This window comes from Homo sapiens, chromosome 2 (genome assembly GCF_000001405.40).
Source record: "Homo sapiens chromosome 2, GRCh38.p14 Primary Assembly".
In the NCBI taxonomy this organism is placed as follows: domain Eukaryota; kingdom Metazoa; phylum Chordata; class Mammalia; order Primates; family Hominidae; genus Homo; species Homo sapiens.
The window spans coordinates 218,306,284-218,324,490 of NC_000002.12; the positions used below are offsets into that span (position 1 = coordinate 218,306,284).

The 18,207-nt window shown below is 48.4% G+C and overlaps 1 protein-coding gene and 2 long non-coding RNA genes across 8 annotated transcripts in view, besides 3 other annotated features; 2 read left to right on the plus strand and 1 right to left on the minus strand.

Annotated features, from left to right (window-relative positions):
• Positions 1-18,207, plus strand: part of PNKD (PNKD metallo-beta-lactamase domain containing) — a 76,275-nt gene that overhangs the window by 35,765 nt on the left and 22,303 nt on the right. For 2 of the 4 annotated variants that reach the window (NM_022572.4, XM_017003772.2), the window contains exon 1: positions 16,896-17,148. The exons of the other annotated variants lie outside the window; for them this stretch is intronic. In NM_022572.4, coding sequence (NP_072094.1) covers positions 16,985-17,148 — 164 coding nt within the window. In that variant the 5' untranslated portion in view covers positions 16,896-16,984. Of the gene's footprint in view, positions 1-16,895; positions 17,149-18,207 lie in introns of those variants that run through there. 4 annotated transcript variants of the gene reach the window in all.
• LOC105373881 (uncharacterized) lies at positions 87-15,755 on the minus strand. 3 transcript variants are annotated; one of them, XR_001739884.2, is made up of 4 exons: positions 15,716-15,750; positions 14,935-15,128; positions 3,694-3,878; positions 87-265 (listed from the first exon to the last, which is right to left on the minus strand). It is a non-coding gene; the product is annotated as an uncharacterized LOC105373881 (long non-coding RNA). The 3 variants fall into 3 exon arrangements; XR_923914.3 differs by lacking the exon at positions 14,935-15,128 and having other exon boundaries at positions 15,716-15,755; XR_923910.3 differs by lacking the exon at positions 15,716-15,750 and having other exon boundaries at positions 14,935-15,339.
• On the plus strand, positions 10,467-13,934 carry LOC105373880 (uncharacterized). Its single transcript, XR_923909.3, has 2 exons — positions 10,467-10,600; positions 11,672-13,934. It is a non-coding gene; the product is annotated as an uncharacterized LOC105373880 (long non-coding RNA).
• Positions 16,593-17,112: a silencer, noted in NCBI's record as "silent region_12314". NCBI's record gives its function as "represses an Ori minimal core promoter by ATAC-STARR-seq in GM12878 lymphoblastoid cells {active_cell/tissue: GM12878}" and the evidence as "EXISTENCE:reporter gene assay evidence [ECO:0000049][PMID:35858748]".
• Positions 16,593-17,190: a biological region, named in NCBI's record as "H3K27ac hESC enhancer GRCh37_chr2:219187601-219188196".
• Positions 16,595-17,190: an enhancer, noted in NCBI's record as "H3K27ac hESC enhancer chr2:219187601-219188196 (GRCh37/hg19 assembly coordinates)". NCBI's record gives its function as "activates a minimal SCP1, AML or CMV promoter by ChIP-STARR-seq in primed H9 embryonic stem cells {active_cell/tissue: H9 hESC(primed)}" and the evidence as "EXISTENCE:reporter gene assay evidence [ECO:0000049][PMID:30033119]".

The window sequence follows — 18,207 nt, forward strand, 5'->3', positions numbered from 1 at the left end:
TGCCTGCAATGGGCCAGGCATGAGGACCCAAGGGCCTGATTTGGGATGATGCAATGGGAAATGGAGGCAAAGGTCACACCCTCTTATCATTTCAGTCATAAAATATTTACTTGAGCACCCACCAGGACAGATGCTGATGTTGCAAGAATGAGATCAATAATATCAAGGAACATGTGTGGAGTACTTGAAACGGCCCAGGCAAGGTGTCCTTTCTCTGGGTAATCACGGTTAATCCTCCGAGTAGCTCCATGCAAATTACCAGTCCCTCGTGGAGAGAAAGAGAATGAGGTTTGAGTAGATTAAGAACATTGCCCCAAGGTGCAGAGTTCCTAGTGGAGCCAGGGTTCTAAGCTGGTCATTCCAAGTCTAGCACACAACCCCCAAACCCGATTCCACTCCCTCCCCGACAGTTCACCCTCCTTACCCACAAGGCACTTGAAGTGTTATGGGGCAGCGCCAGGAATTACTGCACAGCCTAAGGACCATCACAGAGACATGTGTGCAATGAAGTGTGCAAGTCATTACCTAGGCCTAAGAGATGCCCTCACCCAGGAGCTAGGTGTCGGGATTGGTTTGTTTGGTCATCTGACAAACACAGATGCTTCCTAACTTATAGAGTGGTTACATCCCAATAAACTCATCCTAAATTGAAAATATCCTAAGTGGAAAATGCATTAAATACACCTAAACCTACCAAACATCATAGCCTAGCCTAGCCTGCCTTAAACATGCACAAAACAATGACATTCGTTTACAGTTGGGCAAAATCATCTGGAAACACAGATGATGCCGTTGGCCAAGTTGGCAGACCTGAAGGAGAGGGTTGGGGTCACATGAGGATGAGGAGGTAGCTTTGGACAAATCAAGTTAAAGATCCCGTGTGGCAGCAGTCCCCAGCATTTTTGGCACCAGGGACCAGTTTCATGGAAGGCAGTTTTTCCAGGGACTGGGGGAGGCAATGGGGTTAGGGGGGTTCGGGATGATTCAAGCGCATTACATTTATTGTGCACTAGATTTCTATTATTATTACATTGTAATATATAATAAAATAATCATACAACTCACCATAAGGTACAATCAATGGGAACCCTGAGCTTGTTTTCCAGCAGCTGGATGGTCCCATCTGGGATTGATGGGAGACAGTGACAGATCATCAGGCATTAGATTCTCATAAGGAGCATGTAACCTACATCCCTCACATGCGCAGTTCACAATAGGGTGCGAGCTCCTATGAGAATCTAATGCTGCTGCTGATCTGACAGGAGGTGGAGCTCAGAGGGTAATGCAAGCAATGTGGAGCAGCTGTAAATACAGGTAAAGCTTTGCCTGTCCTGCTGTGTGGCCTGGCTCCTAACAGACCAAGGACCAGTATAGGGTTGGAGGGAAGCGGTTGGGGACCCCTACCGTGGGGCATCCAAGGGAGGCTCTTGTGGACATTTCTCCTTTGAAGTAATGAGTATACAGGTGGTAGCCTGTAAGTGGTGAATTTAGAGCTAGCAGAAGGGGAGCTTGTCAGAGAGGGGAGAGGAGAGCCAGAGAGACTGTGGCAGGGAAGGCAGAGGAAAAAGGCATGCTCCATTGTCATAGCTGCCACCCAGAGGTTCAGTGATAAGGGCTGAACAATGACAAATGGGTTTGACCTTCAAGGGGACAGCGCCAAATTAGGATGGAGCAGTACAGGCAGGGGCCCAGTTGAGTGGCCTGAGAATGGACGTGAAGTGAAAGGTAGAGACAGCAGAGAGGACTACTTTCTTTGTTTTAATAAAATAATAATTTTAAAAATTAAAATACTAATATGTTTTCATTATAGAAGATCAGAAAATATTTTAAAAGCACAAAAAAATAATAAACAAATGGTACCCCATGAGTCAATCAACCAAAGATTATGACTGGAAGCATTTTAGATTTTTTTTTTTTTTTTTTGAGACAGAGTCTCACTGCACATCACTCAGATGTGCAGTGGTGCCATCTCGGCTCACTGTAACCTCTGCCTCTCAGATTCAAGTGGTTTTCCTGCCTCAGCCTCCTGAGTAGCTGGGATGATTCAGGCACCCGCCACTACACCCAACTAATTTTTGTATTTTTAGTAGAGACGGGGTTTCACCATATTGGCCAGGCTGTTCTCAAACTCCTAAGCTTGTGATCTGCCCGCCTCAGCCTCCCAAAGTGCTGGGATTACAGGCACGAGCCACCGTGCCCAGCCTTAGATTTTTTTTAATCCATTTTTGTTTACAGAGGTACAATCGTATCAGTTATTCAAAATTTACCCAGTTTTGTGTCCTATTTTTTTCTCCACTACTTTCTTTCTTTCTTTTTTTTTTTTAGACGAGTATTGCTCTATCACCCAGGCTGGAGTGCAATAGCATAATCTCGGCTCACCGCAACCTCCACCTCCCGGGTTCAAGCGATTCTCCTGCCTCAGCCACCTGAGTAGCTGGGATTACAGGAGCTGCCACCACCCCTCAGCTAATTTTTGTATTTTTAGTAGACAGGGTTTCACCATGTTGGCCAGGCTGGTCTCAAACTCCTGACCTGAGGGGATCTGCCTGCCTCAACCTCCCAAAGTGCTGGGATTACAGGAGTGAGCCACCGTGCCCAGCCTCCTCCACTTCTTTCCTTCCTTTCTCTTTTTCTCTCTTTCTCTCTCTCTTTCTCTCTTTCTCCTTCCTTCCTTCCTTCCTCTTTCTGAGACAGAGTACAGTGGCGCAGTCATGTCTCACTGCAATCTTGACCTCCAGGATCAAGAGATCATTCAAGATCAGCCTGGGCAACATAGTGAGACCCTGTCTCTATTTAAATAAAAATAAAATAAAATAAGAGATCCTCCCACCACGGCCTCCCAAGTAGCTGGGACTACAGGCACCCACTACCACGTTCAGCTAATTGTCATATTTTTCGTAGAAATGGGGTTTCACAGCCGGGTGTGGTGGCCAAGACCAGCCTGGCCAACATGATGAAACCTGTTTTTATTAAAAATACAAAAAAATTAGCCGGGCGTGGTGGTGCATGCCTGTAGTCCCAGCTACTAGAGAGGCTGAGGCAGGAGAATTGCTTGAACCCAGGAGCCAGAGGTTGCAGTGAGCCAAGATTGTGTCACTGCACTCCAGCCTGGGCAACAGAGAGACTCCGCCTCAAAAAAAAAAAAAAAAAAAAAAGGAAAGAAAAGGAGAAAGAAAAAAGAAATGGGGTTTTGCTATGTTGGCCAGGTTGGTCTGGAACTCCTGACCTCAAGTGATCTGCCCCCTTGGCCTCCCAGAGTTACAGGCATGGCCACCACACCCAGCCTCCAGTTTATGGGAAAATATAAAATTTACCCAAAGTACTAGTTTGGATGCTCTTGGCTGCAGGTGTCAGAAAACCCAACTGAGGCCAGGCACAGTGGCTCAGCCTCTAATCCCAGCACTTTGGGAGGCCGAGGTGGGAGGATCATTTGACGTCAGGAGTTTGAGATCAGCCTGGCCAACATGGTGAGACCCCATCTCTACTAAAAATACAAAAAAAATTAGCCGAGCGTGGTGGTGCACACCTGTAATCCCAGCTACTCAGGAGGCTGGGGGAGGAGAATCGCTTGAACCTGGGAGGCGGAGGCTGCGGTGAGCCGAGATCGCGACATTGCACTCCAGCCTGGCGACAGAGCGAGATTACGTCTAAAAAAAAAAAAAAGAAAAGAAAACCCAACTGAAAGTGGCTTACATTATAAGCAACAAGAAGCCCAGAGCAGCGTGTAATTCCAGGATTGGTTAATTCAGGCAGTCGGTGAGGTCTCCATCACTTCTGCTCTGCCATCCTCGGGTGCTGGCATTTCCTCCTAAACAAACTGCTCCCCAACAGTCCAAGATGGCGTCTGTGGTTCCAGCATCCCAGGCAGGTGATGGCATCTTGAAGCAAGAAAATAGCCCTGTTACAGTCAAGTGCCACATGACAATGTTTTTTGTTTTTGTTTTGTTTTGTTTTTTTGAGACGGAATCTCACTCTGTCACCCAAGCTGGAGTGCAGTGGTGCAATCATGGCTCACTGCAACCTCCGCCTCCCGGATTCAAGCAATTCTCCTGCCTCAGCCTCCCAAGTAGCTGGGATTACAGGCACCCGCCACCATGCCTGGCTAATTTTTTTTATTTTTAGTAGAGATGGGGTTTCACCATATTGGCCAGGCTGGTCTCGAACTCCTGACCTTGTTATCCCCCCACCTCGACCTCTCAAAGTGCTGGGATTATAGGCGTGAGCCACTGCGCCCGGCCTACATAACAATGTTTTAATAGCGAAGGACCACATGTATAACAATGGTCCCATGAGATTATTGCTTTATTGCTTTTTTTTTTTTTTTTTGAGGTGGAGTCTCCCCCTGTCACCCGGGCTGGAGTACAGTGGCGCCATCTCGGCTCACTGCAACCTCCGCCTCCCAGGTTCAAGCGATTCTCCTGCCTCAGCCTCCTAAGTACCTGGGGTTACAGGTGCGTGCCACCACACCTGCCTAATTTTTATATTTTTAGTAGAGATGGGGTTTCACCATGTTGGTCAGGCTGGTCTCCAATTCCTGACCTCAGGTGATCTGCCCGCCTCGGCTTCCAAAAGTGCTGGGATTACAGGCGTGAGCTACCATGCGCCCCATGTTACAGCACCTTTTCTAGGTTTAGATACACAATATTTGCTATTGTGTTGTAATTGCCTACAGCATTCAGTACAGTAACATGCCGTGCAGGTTTGTGGCCTAGGAGAAATAGGCTATACCAATCAACCTAGGTTTGTGTAAGTACACACTATGATGTTTGCACAACTACAAAATCACCTGACACATCTCTCAGAATGTATTCCTGTCCTTAAGTAACACATGATTGTACATCCCTTTTTAAGAACAAGCAGAACCTTCCTAGAAGGCCTTCAGCCTATTTGCCTCCCCATCTAATCAGCTGTGTGACCTGGAGCCATTGATCTGATCTCAGTACCTCAGGGTTCCTATCTGTGTAATTGAAGGGGGCCAGCCCCTACGCACCTGTGGATATTTCTCATCAGGTGGGACGAGAGACTGAGAAAGAAATAAGACACAGAGACAAAGTATAGAGAAAGAACTGTGGGTCCAAGGGACCGGCGCTCAGCATACAGAGGACCCGCACCGGTGCCGGCCTCTGAGTTCCCTCAGTGTTTATTTTACTATCTTAGCGAGGGGAGTGTAGCAGGGCAACAGGTGGGGAGAAGGTCAGCAGGGAAACATGTGAGCAAAGGAATCTGTATCATGAATAAGTTCAAGGAAAGGTACTGTGCCTGGATGTGCACGTAGGCTAGATTTATGTTTCTCTTTACCCAAACATCTCAGTGTAGCAAAGAGCGACAGAGCAGTATTGCTGCCAGCATATCTCGCCTCCAGCCATAGGACGGTTTTCTCCTATCTCAGAATAGAACAAATGGGAATGGTCAGCTTTACACCGAGACATTCCATTCCCAGGGAAGAGCAGGAGACAGAAGCCTTCCTCTTATCTCAACTGCAAAGGGGCCTCCCTCTTTCACTACTCCTCAGCACAGACCCTTTATGGGTGTCAGGCCTTATGGTAAGGTCTTTCATTTCCCATGAGGCCATATCTCAGGCTGTCTCAGTTGGGGGAAACCTTAGACAATACCCAAGCTTTCTTGGGCAGAGGTCGGTCCCTGCGGCTTTCCGCAGTGCATTGTGTCCCTGGGTAATCGAGAATGGAGAATGGCGATGACTTTTACCAAGCATACTGCCTGCAAACATATTGTTAACAAGGCACATCCTGCACAGCCCTAAGTCCATTAAACTTTGATTCATTACAGCACATGTTTCTGTGAGCACAGGGTTGGGGCTAAAGTTACAGGTTAACAGCGTCTCAAAGCAGAAACAATTTTTCTTAGTACAGATCAAAATGGAATTTCTTCTGTCTTCCTTTTCTACATAGACACAGTAACAATCTGATCTCTCTTTCTTTTCCCCACATGTAAAGGCAAATATAATTGCATTTGTTGTGAGAGCTGAGGGTTAATCTATGTAAAGCACTTAGAACAGTGCCTTGCCTGTGATTTGTACTATATAAATATTTGCTATTACTATCTGATAGCAAGAATTACATTACATTCCTGGGTCTAACCAATAGCTTGGCTGGCAATGTGTGGCTTGGACCAAGCAAGATCCACCCATCAGGGCTGAGGAGGGACTCACTTGAAGGCTATGGCTATTCAGAGGAGAGTGGGCAAAATAGGGGTTAACAAGGAAAAAAGGGAGGGGTGAAGAATGGATATTGACCAACAGGATCTGCCACACCCATGTTGTTTAAAAAAAAAAAAAAAAGAAAACCTGGGCCGGGAGGGATGGCTCATGCCTGTAATCCCAGCACTCTGGGAGGCCAAGGTAGGTGGATCCCCTGAGCTCAGAAGTTCGAGACCAGCCTTGCCAACATGGTGAAATCCCATCCCTACTAAAATTACAAAAATTAGTTGGGTGTGGGGGTGTGCACCTGTAGTCCCAGCTACTTGGGAGGCTGAGGCACAAGAATCTCTTGAACCCGGGAAGCAGAAGTTGTAGTGAGCCTAGAACTTACCACTGCACTCCAGCCCGGGTGACAGAGTGAGACTCCACCTTAAAAAAAACAAACAAAAAAACCCTCTATCAATGTATGAGCATTATTCTCTTCGTATGTGTTCTATTTTTTTAACTTTTTTTTTTTTAGGTAATTACAGATTTACAAAATATTTGTGAAAATGTATAAGGAGATCTCATACCTGGCCCTAGCTTCCCCAAATATTAACTACCAGGAAATTAACCTTGATAAAAATGTTCACATATTATTTAACTACCAGGAAATTAATCTTTATACAATTTTTTTTTTTTTGGAGACAGTCTCACTCTGTCGCCCAGGTTGCAGGCTGGAGTGCAGTGGCGTGATCTTGGCTCACTGCAGCCTCCATCTCCCAGGTTCAAGCAATCCTCCTGTCTCAGCCTCCTGAGTAGCTGGGACTACAGGTGTACACCATCATGCCCGGCTAATTTTTGTATTTTTAGTAGAGATCTGGTTTCACCATATTGGTCAGGCTGGTCTGGAACTCCTGACCTCAGGTGATCCACCTGCCTCAGCCTCCCAAAGTACTGGGAGTACAGGCATGAGCCACTGAGCCCAGCCTTGATACAATTCTAATAACCTACCTATAGTCTTTATTGATGTTGACAGTTGTTCCCCAGTGTCTTTTTTTCTAGTCCAGGATCCAATTCAGGATCACGTACTGCATTGATTTCTAATTTAAATACCATTTAAAAGGAACACTGAGTTCCACAGAACCTAACTTTTGTTGCAAGATCTCTAGGTTGTTTGTAGAGTTTCATCATTACCAGTAACCCTGGGCCTTCAAATTTTTAATATATTTCAGAGTTTATCTTTTGGGCTGATCCCTAAAACAGAATTACTAAGTAAACAGATATGAACATTTTTAAGGCCTTGATGCATATTGGTAATTGCTTTCCAGAAAATTATACAAATTTGATGTCCCTACAAACCATGTATGAATACTCAACTTCCCATATTCTTAGAACTTCAGGATTTTATTCTTGTTTTTAATATTGGCATTTTGGTTAAGTGAAAATCAAATCTCGTTGTTTAACTGCATTTTCTTTATTTCTTTTTTTTTTTTTTTTTTTTTGAGACGGAGTTTCACTCTTGTTGCTGGAGTTTCGCTCTTGAGGCTGGAGTGCAGTGGCGCAATCTCAGCTCACCACAACCTCCGCCTCCCAGGTTCAAGCGATTCTTCTACCTCAGCCTCCTGAGTTGCTGGGATTACAGGCATGTGCCACCACACCCGGCTAATTTTTTGTATTTTTAGTAGAGACAGGGTTTCTCCATGTTGGTCAGGCTGGTCTCAAACTCCCAGCCTCAGGTGATCTGCCTGCCTCTGCCTCCCAAATTGCTGGGATTACAGGCGTGAGCCACCGCGCCCTGGCTTTTTTTTTTTTTTTTTTTTTGAGACAGAGTCTCTGTCTCCCAGGCTGGAGTGCAGTGACATGATCACAGTTTACTGCAGCCTTTACCTCCCAGGCCCAAGAGATCCTCCTACCTCAGCCTCCTGAGCAGCTGGAAGCACAGGCGTGTACCACCAAGCCTGGCTGATTTTTTAAATTTTTTGTAGAGATGAGGTCTCCCTCTGTTGCCCAGGCTGGTCTGGAACTCCTGGGCTCAAGCGATCCTCCCACCTTGGCCTCCCAAAGTGCTGGGATTACTTGTACTTTGGGTGCAAGTTAGCCACCATGCCTGGCTATACTTGGATTTTCTTGATTCTTTTGAGTTTTCACATTTTTTCATATTTATTAGCCATTTATTAATTTATTAATTGAGGTCATTGTGTTTTCACATTTATTTAAGGTCTGTAATCACTCCTTGGCCTTTTGGCTAAGATCAAGTATATTTAAGTTCGTTTTTTTTTTTCTTTTTGAGAGAGTCTCACTCTGTCGCCCAGGCTGGAGTGCAATGGGGCGATCTCGGCTTACTGGAACCTCCACCTCCTGGGTTCAAGCGATTTCTTGTGCCTCAGTGCCCAAGTAGCTAGGATTACAGACGCCTGCCACCATGCCCTGCTAATTTTTGTATTTTTAGCAGAGACTTGGTTTCACCACTTTGGACAGGCTGGCCTTGAACTCCTGGCCTCAAGTGATCCACCTGCTTCAGTCTCCCGAAGTGCTGGGATGCCAGGCATGAGCCACTATGCCCGCCTGAGGTTTTCTTTCTTTCTTTCTTTTTCTTTCTTTCTTTCTTTCTTTCTTTTTCTTTCTTTCTTTCTTTCTTCCTTCCTTCCTTCCTTTCTTTCTCTCTCTCTCTCTCCTTCCTTCCTTCCTTCCTTCCTTCCTTTCTTTCTTTCTTTCTTTCTTTCTTCTTTCTTTCTTTTTTGAGACAGTCTTGCTGTGTCACCAGGCTGGAGTGCAGTGGCGTGATCTCAGCTCACTGTGACCTCTGCCTCCCAGGTTCAAGCTATTCTCCTGCCCCAGCCTCCCAAGTAGCTGGGACTACAGGCACGCGCCACCACGCCCAGCTAATTTTTGTATTTTTAGTAGAGACGGGGTTTCACCATGTTGGCCAGGATGGTCTCAATCTCTTTGACCTCGTCATCCACCCACCTCGGCCTCCACCCGCCTCGGCCTCCCAAAGTGCTGGGATTCCAGGCATGAGCCATGGCGCCCGGCCAAGGATTTAAATTTTAAAGTAACTAAAACAGTAATTATTTCCCTTGTTAGATCTTCTGTTGCTTTTTTCTGAATAATGTATGCCTTTAAGGAATAATAGGAATAATAAATGCCTTTAAGAATAACATACGCCTATTAAGGAAAATTAGAATGACGCATTTGTTATTTTTAGCTTTAGAAAATCCTCTGCTATCCAGATTGAACATGTCTTTCATTTTCTTCTAATTTTCTGTGGTTTAATTTTATATCCTTAACCCTTTAATTCGGGTAGAATTTATTTTGGTGGATTCTGTGAGGCACGAGTCTAAATTGCTCTTTTGTAAATAGCTAGTCACTCATCCATCATGTCTTTCCAGCATCATTAATATTCTGTTTCCCTCTGTCACTGTTAACTATTATTGCAGTAATGCTGCATAAGAAGCCAGTTCAAAACTCAGAAGCCTACAATCATAAGCATGTATCTTGCTCATGCATCTGTGGGCAGGCTGAGCTTTAGCTGATCTAGCTTGGGCTCTGCTGGGCTGGGTTGACTTCCAAGCTGTGAGTGGGATCCAGGTGGCTCCATGTGCCTTTCATCTCCCTTAGACCAGCAACATCAGTGGCGTGGGAAAATATACCTCGCCTCCATTGAAGTGATGCACAGTCACAGGGTGAACGGTATGTTTACAGTGAGAGATGAATAACTGGAAACTGAAATGCCATCTACCACACCTTTGGAGACAGCCTTTCAGGAAACTAGATTGTGTTGAGATAAAGGCAGAATGGAGTCTAGAAAATGGCACAAGGTCAAGGGAAGATTTTTTTCTTTCTTTCTTTTTTTTTTTTTTTTTTTGAGACAGAGTCTCACTCTGTCACCCAGGCTGGAGTGCAGTGGCACGATCTCAGCTCACTGCAACCTCCACCTCCCAGGTTCAAGTGATTATCCTGCCTCAGCTTCCCAAGTAGCTGGGATTACAGGCACCCGCCACCATATCCAGCTAATTTTTTGTATTTTTAGTAGAGACAGGGTTTCACCTTGTTGCCCAGGCTGGTTTCGAACTCCTGAGCTCAGGCAATCCGCCTGCCTTGGCCTCCCAAAGTGCTGGGATTACAGGCGTGAGCCACTGTGCCCGGCCAGGAAGTTTTTAAGGCAGGGAGATGCTGGAATTTGCTCTTAGGCTGAGGAAAATTGCAAAATATGTAGAGGGGTAGGTAGTCACAGAAATTGTTTTCTCTAAGAAGGATATTTGTTGAAAGTAAAGGAAATGACGTTGGGGCTTGAGGTTTGGAATAACAACTGCAGATGAGATGGGGCCTCAGCAAAACGGAACTGCCAAGCACTGGTATCAGGGACTTGGGATGGCCTGAACCATCGCAGCCCTGAGTCATATGACACAGCAGTTTTCTTCAGCCCTGCCCGTGAGGTAGGAGACTGTCAGGTTGGTTCAGGTAGGTCTGAAGGTTGGTAGGTTAAGGCTGGAGGTCAAGGGGGTCAGGGGATCAGGAAGCTAACAGGTGGTAAGTAGTTCAAGGGATTGAGCCTAAGTTCAAATATAGGTGCAAGAGGGGCTGAAGGGCTGGAAGAAAACAAACTGCCTGAGGAGCTGGAACTGGAGGTCCATGTGTACTGGGGATGGGAGGGGATCAGGGAAAAGGACATTGGAATTTAGGTTCTCAGAGGCAGAGAAGTTCCAGGTGAATCTAGGGTGTGGCCATGTGAGCAAGCTGCTGAATTATGTCGAAGGCATTGGAATTGAAGTCAGGAACTGAGGTCAAGGCAGAGTTCAGAACCACCTATGCGAAATGCACACTCTTGGGCCCCAGCCAAACCTACTAAGTTTGAATCTCTGGGGGACGGACCAGAATTCCGTATTTTTACAAGCTCCCTGAGTGGTTCCTAGGCTCCCTAACACTTGAAAACTGCTGTGCTATGATGTTGAATGAGCCATGCTTGTTGGAATTACCTGATGGCAGGAATCAGGCAGGAAGACTAAAAACAGGTGTTGAAATCCTTAGAGAGTCTGGGCTGATCAGTGTATGGGACTGATGAGGAGGGGTGGAAAGAAGTTTGTACATGAGTCAGGAAGAGCAATGGCCTTGGCCTGGACTATTGCTAGTGCATTCCTTTCCAACCTGGAGACAATGTAGGAGACTAAAGGCTTCCACTGCAGAAGGCAGGGCAGTGAGAGAGAAGGTAGGGAATAGAAGACAGGGATCATATTCAGTCCAGACAGGCTGGGAGCTCTGTGAGAAGGCAGAGGACGTTGGGGAAGGATTTGTTTCAGACCAAACCAGGGTTCTGCAGGGTACAGCAAAATGGCTCGGACAGGAGTTCATGAGAAAATGGTCCACGAGGGAAAGTGAGCTTTGGTTGGGGATAACAGATGAGGGGATGGACTGGGCTAAGCAGAGGCCAGATTATCCCAGTCACCACTTCTGCACTGGGTTCACTTTTCTAAACTGAACTAATTTCTCCACCCAGGTCTGACAAGATGTCTCTTTTCTCTAACATTTAAACAGCTCCAACCATCTCAGCTCCTTCATGATTGTTTCGTCATCATCACCATCGTCACTGTCATCATCATCATCATCACCACCAGTGATTTCCTGAATGCCAACCAAGCACCAGTCATCAAGCGTGAGCCACGGTGCAAAGATGGAGGCAGGCTCTCCATTCTAAGGGAACCTCTCAGGCCAGTAGGGAAGGCAAGATTCAGACACCAGGGACAGGCAGCCTGGGATGACAGGTGGAACAAGGAGGAGACACAAGAACCCCCACCCCAACCCAGGAACCCACATCACAGGCCAGACCTGCATGATCGCCAGGCACCCGACTCGGGTTATGAAGGTGTCTCTCCTAAGAGAGTGGCAGAGGCAAACTTTAGCCTTGGCAGTGCGCCTCAAGCTGCTCAGGGGAGAAGTCACGGCCAAAGCCCTGGAGTGCATGGGTTCTTTAGCCATGGTTCTCCTGCAGCTTCCTCTGATATTATGAAGCGCCTGCCGCCACCAGGCTTGTTCTGACTCCCTTCCATGATCCACCCTTCTGAGTGGGGTTTGGCTTCTGTACAGCTCTCCTGTGGGCACTGAGCCCACTAGTCAGAGCAAGAGGGCTCCAGTCTCTGGACAGTCACAGTGCTTGGTGGCAAAACATAAATTGTCATTCATTCATGCCTTGTTTCTGTCATTCACTCATTCATTCAGCAGATACTTAACTGAACACCTGCTCTGGGCCAGGTATTATTCACACCACTGGGAATACAGTGGTGCCAACACAGGTCCCTCCCTGACTTCATGGGGCTAACATTCCAGTGGGAGTGACAGAAAAGATCCACAAAATAACATCACATTGTGAAAAGTGCTATGAAAGTGAAGGACGTAAGCACAGTAATATTAGTAATAGAGTAGAGAGTGAGGAGGTGGTGAGCAAAGGCCTCATAGAGGGAGTAACATTTTTTCTTTAATTTGATGTATACTTTACATATAGTAAAGTGCACAAATCTTTTCTTTTTTTTTTTCTTTTTTTTTTTTTTTTTTTTTTGAGACAGAGTCTTGCTCTGTCGCCCAGGCTGGAGTGCAATGGTATGATCTCGGTTCACTGTAACCTCCGCCTCCTGGGTTCAAGTGACTCTCCTGCCTCAGCCTCCCGAGTAGCTGAGACAAGAGGCTTGTGCCACCATACCCGGCTAACTTTTGTATTTTTAGTAGAGACGGGGTTTCACTATGTTGGCCAGGCTGGTCTCGAACTCCTGACCTTGTGATCCGCCCTCATCAGCCTCCCAAAGTGTTGGGATTACAGGCGTGAACCACTGCACCTGGCCATGCACAAATCTTTAATGTACAACTTGGTGAGTTTTTCAATTTGCGTATGTCAGACTCTCAACCTCTGTACTGCAGACATTGGGGCCATTTGTCCTGGGGACTGTCTTTCTTGTTTGTCTTTTTTTTTTTTTTTTTTTTTTGAGATGGAGTATTGCTTTATCGCCCAGGCTGGAGTGCCCTGGCATGATCTCGGCTCACTGCAACCTCCGCCTCTTAGGTTCAAGCAGTTCTCCTGCCTCAGCCTCCTGAGTAGCTGGGATTACAGGCACACACCACCATACCTGGCTGATTTTTGTATCTTTAGTAGAGACAGGGTTTCACTGTATTGGTCAGGCTGGTCTCAAACTCCTGACCTCGTGATCTGCCCACCTCAGCCTCCCAAAGTACTGGGATTACAGGCGTGAGCCATCGCGCTCGGCCCCGTCTTGTGTATTATAGGATGTTTAGCAGCATACCTGGCCTCTACCCACTAAATGTCAGTAACATTCCTCCCCACACAGTTGTGACCATCAAAAATGTCCCCAGACATTGCCATATATCTTCTGGGAGGCGAAATCGCCACTGTTGAAAGCCACTGGCATATGCCATGTAGCCAGCACTCAGCTCAAGATACAGGTTATTTCCACATGGAGGGGTTGGCGTTTGAGCTGACACCCAACAGCTAAGAAGCTGCCTCCAATTCAGAGAACTGGGGAAGGAATGTTCCAAGGGGAGAGAGCATAGGCAAAGGCCCTGAGGTGGGAATGAGCGTGGCACATTTGAGGAAGTGTGGCTGGTCCGTGGTGACAAGGGAAAGGCATCTGAGGAGGTTGAAGAGACAGGCTGGGCCCTATTGAGCAGGGGCTTTGTGGGATACGGTTAGGAGTCTGACATTTCAAAGAACGTTTGTGAGTATGTAATATGTACCTGGCACTATGCCAGACACTGGAGAGTTGAAGATGAATAAATTAAATCCTTGGCCCTACTCTTTTTTGCTTTTATTACTATTTTTAATTGACACACAATAATTGTACATATTTATGGGGCACAGTGTGATAGTTTGATACATGTATACAAGGCGTAATGATCAAATCAAGGTAATTAGCATATCCATCACCTCAAACATTGATCATTTCTTTGTGCTGGGAACATTCAAAGTCTGCTCTTCTAGCTATTTGAAAATATGCAGGCCAGTGCCTGTGGCTCATGCCTGGAGTCCCAACTACCGAGGAGGCTGAAGCGGGAGGATTGCTTGAACCCTGGAGTTTGAGGCTGCAGTGAGCTATGATTGTGCCACTGCACTCCAGCCTGAGTGACAGAGTGAGACCCTGTCTCTATTTTTAAAAAAAAGTATGAATAAGACCCAGAGTTGGCACAAAAGGGGACATGCTTAAGCCCATGAAGGATCCTGCTGGGAGGGTTCAAGAAGAGCTTTCTTGGAGAGATCACACCCAATTTGAGTCTTTGGGGAACAAAGAATAAATGGCACTCCACGCAGAAGGCACAGTATGTGCAAAGGCATGGGGGTGTGAAACAATATGATAGCTTGAGACAATACCTAAGTAGTTAAGTATTCTAGGGTATAAAGTACAGGAGAGGGGTAATAATAAGGCATCAGCCTGGATGGGATAGAAAATTCTTATGGCAGAGGAAGTGAAACTAAAGCCCACTTGCAGCAGACATTAGAAGTCTTCCAGAACAGTCTAAGGGTGGGGTTATGGCTCCCTGGGCCTGCATGACTCCCCTAAAACACTCACCCTCACTCCTTTTCCCAGTCCCGCCTTGACTCCATATGTTTCATCAAACATATCTTGGATTTATTATCTATAATCTTGTTAATTGTCTGGCTTGAGATTTAGAATTTGGTCATCTCTGTGTTCTCTACAAGCTCATGCTTGAGCATGCATTTCCTGTTTCAGATTACAGGACTGCATTTTAATTTCTTGATAGAATGCCTGATATAGCCTTACCTGGCACAGCCTTACCTGCAGAAAGTTGTGTGCACAATGACTTTTGATGATGCCTCCATGATCCTTCACTTTGCATGTACAGACACAGACACGGAGATGCAAACTCCTGCATCCTACAAGGGTCATCTGCAAATTGGCTTATCAGTTTTCTCACTCCTCTGTCTCCTCTGCGGTACCAGCCCTTTATATGCCAGGCACTGAGAAGCAACCTAATTACAGGCGAGGAGACAGGGAGGGAGCAGGCCATAGGCTCTGTCCCTCAAGATGTACCCACATAGAAGAAACTCCAGGTCTGTCTGGGTTTTCTGGATTAAACCCAGATTCAGGTATTGGAATTACAATTCAGTTTGAAGATAATTTAACATATCCCTCACCCATCTCCCTCCCAGAACCTCCCAGCAGCAGCAAAGGTGAGCTTGACTTTTTTTTTTTTTTTTTTTTTTGAGACGGAGTCTCACCCCTGTCACCTAGGCTGGAGTGCCGTGGCACAATCTCAGCTCACTGCAACCTCCACCTCCCGGGTTCAAGCGATTCTCTTGCCTCAGGCTCCCGAGTAGCTGGGACTACATGTGCATGCCACCATGCCAGGCTAATTTTGTATTTTTAGTAGAGATGGGGTTTCACCGTGTTAGCCAGGATGGTCTCGATCTCTTGACCTAGCGATCCGCAGGCCTCAGCCTCCCAAAGTGCTGGGATTAAGCGTGAGCCACCGCTCCCGGCCGAGCTTGACTCTTTTTTTTTTTTTTTTTTGAGCCGGAGTCTTGCTCTAGAGTGCAATGGCACGATCTCGACTCACCGCAACTTCTGCCTCCTGGGTTCAAGCGATTCTCCTGTCTCAGCCTCCCGAGTAGCTAGGATTACAGGCAGGCGCCACCATGCCTGGCTAATTTTGTATTTTTAGTAAAGACGTGGTTTCTCCATGTTGGTCAAGCTGGTCTCCAACTCCCGACCTCACGTGATCCGCCCCCCTCGGCCTCCCAAAGTGCTGGGATTACAGGCGTGAGCCACCGCGCCTGGCCGAGCTTGACTCTTTAGAGCATTTCCTTCCCTTCCTGTCCTGGGCCAGAGCTAGGGCTGGAGCCAAAACAAGCCCAGCCCTGGCTCCTGTGCCTAAATTTGTAGATTTCACCACCACCACGCCTGTCCTCACACCTGCTTCCATTCCAGGGACCTTAACAACTTCTAGAATCCATCAGGAGGGCAGCAGTGAGGGAGCTGGGAACGGTGATGTGGAAATCGCCCTGGGTTTGGGAGTGGGAATGCCCCAGCCCTAGGCCCCTCTGTGCCACCCATGGCTACATATCCTAGGTCATGTTGCTCCTCCAGAGCTTGTGTGGCCTCTTCCTATCCTTCAGGGCAGGACTTATGTCGTCCGCTGGGGAGGCCCTCCCCCATCTAAGTTGGCCCTCTCTGTGCTCCATATCATTGCCCCCTCCTTGACTTCCTTTCGCAATTTATCACGCGCATATGTATGTGTATGCATAAACAGATATAATTTTGTTTGCTCGCTTATTTGGTTCGTCGCCTCACTAGATTCCGGACTGTGGGCTCCAGGAATGCAGACAGTGTGCCTTTGACCCTTGCATCCTCCTCAGAGCCTGGCAGAGTGCCAAGTACATAGGAGGAGCTAGAAAAGTAATTCGGCGAATGAATAAATCCATGAATGGCAGCTGACCCCGATGATCTCTCAGGTTTCTGCCAGTTGAGAAAGTGTAGCAGTGCCCTGGACGGGGAGGCGGGCGGGGCGAACTGCGAGCTCCTGCCCCTTCCCAGGGCTCAGGCGACTGTGGACCCCGATCAGCGCAGGCTCGCGGCCCGCTGTGGCCCCGCCTCCTGGCCGCCAGCCGGGCGGAGCCAGGCCGCCCCCCAAGCCGGGTGGCCTTCGGGGTGCTTGCCCGGCTGGAGGTGGTGAGGGGGCGGGTCCAAAGGAGAGGTCAATGGGCGGGGCGGGGCCACAACGCCCCCACGTCCAGAGCCGGCAGGCAGGTTCCCCGCGGGGGGCCGGGGCCGGGCCGTTGCCTAGCAACGCCGAGCCCCGCCCGGCCGGCGCGTGCCTGCCCCCAGCATGGCTTGGCAGGGCTGGCCCGCGGCGTGGCAGTGGGTCGCCGGCTGCTGGCTCCTCCTCGTCCTTGTCCTCGTCCTACTTGTGAGCCCCCGCGGCTGCCGAGCGCGGCGGGGCCTCCGCGGTCTGCTCATGGCGCACAGCCAGCGGCTGCTCTTCCGAATCGGGTTAGTGCCCGGGCTCCGAAGCGTGCGGGCTCGGGAGGCGGGCGCGCTGGGAGAGGGGACTGGGAGGCGGGGGCTGGAGCTGGGGGTGGGCGTGGCGGTTAGGAAGGGGCTTGGTCTAAGGGAAGAGGGATCGAGGAGACGGACTGGAGAAGCCACTGAGTTGGGGGGCCTGAGGGATTTGGGGGGCTGGACAATTGGGATAAGCTGGGGAAGGAGGATCGGAGAGGCGGGCCAGGGTGGCCACGGAAGGAGGGCGTGAGAGGACATCTGGAGCAAAGTGCCACAGAATGGGCTGGAGACCAGGAAGCTGGACAGGGGGATAGTGCAGGAGCCAGGGCTGGGAAGACCGTCCCTGTCCGGGGGTGAGGTCAGCAGATGCCCGGGCTCCGATGGCAAGTGCCGGAGAGAAGGAATGCCTCCCACCGTCTGACATTTAAAACCGCCAACTCCTTTCGTATGTCCTTGTCCCACTCCCCAGCATCCAACTCCTCACCAGTCAAGTTAGGTTCTTCTGTCCCAAGCAAGAGTCCCAACCCTGTTGGATTCCAGTATGTCCCTTTCCTTCTAACCAAAGCCTGGCCCGTGTGGAAGCCCCAGGCTGTGAAATCTGACCCAACTGACTCTGCCCACTTTTCCAGTGATTTGTCTCCGTCGACCCTCCCCCGCTCACTCTGCCCTCCTGCCTCCCTCTACCCCTTCCTTCCTGGCCCCAGGGGAGGGTGGTGCCTAGCAAGCACTGTTCAGCCCCAGGGACACTGAGAGGCAGGGAAGAAGACAGGCCTCCGAGGCCCCCTGTCCCCTTCCTACTACCAGCCTGGCCATGGGTCAGGACCTCAAGCCCCAGTTTAGGGACAGTAATGTTGGGGATGGGAATTGTGAGAGCCCTGGCCACAGGCCAGGTTGTGGGGAGAGCCTAAGCCTGGGAATTTCCCGAGCTTCCGAGCAGACATTGTGCAATTCACCCTCTCCTCCCCAGACCACCCCACACGCCCAGAAGCTTCAGGCGCAGGATTCCACTCACAGTCTAAGAAATGCAGATATAAAGGCAGGATAACTAGA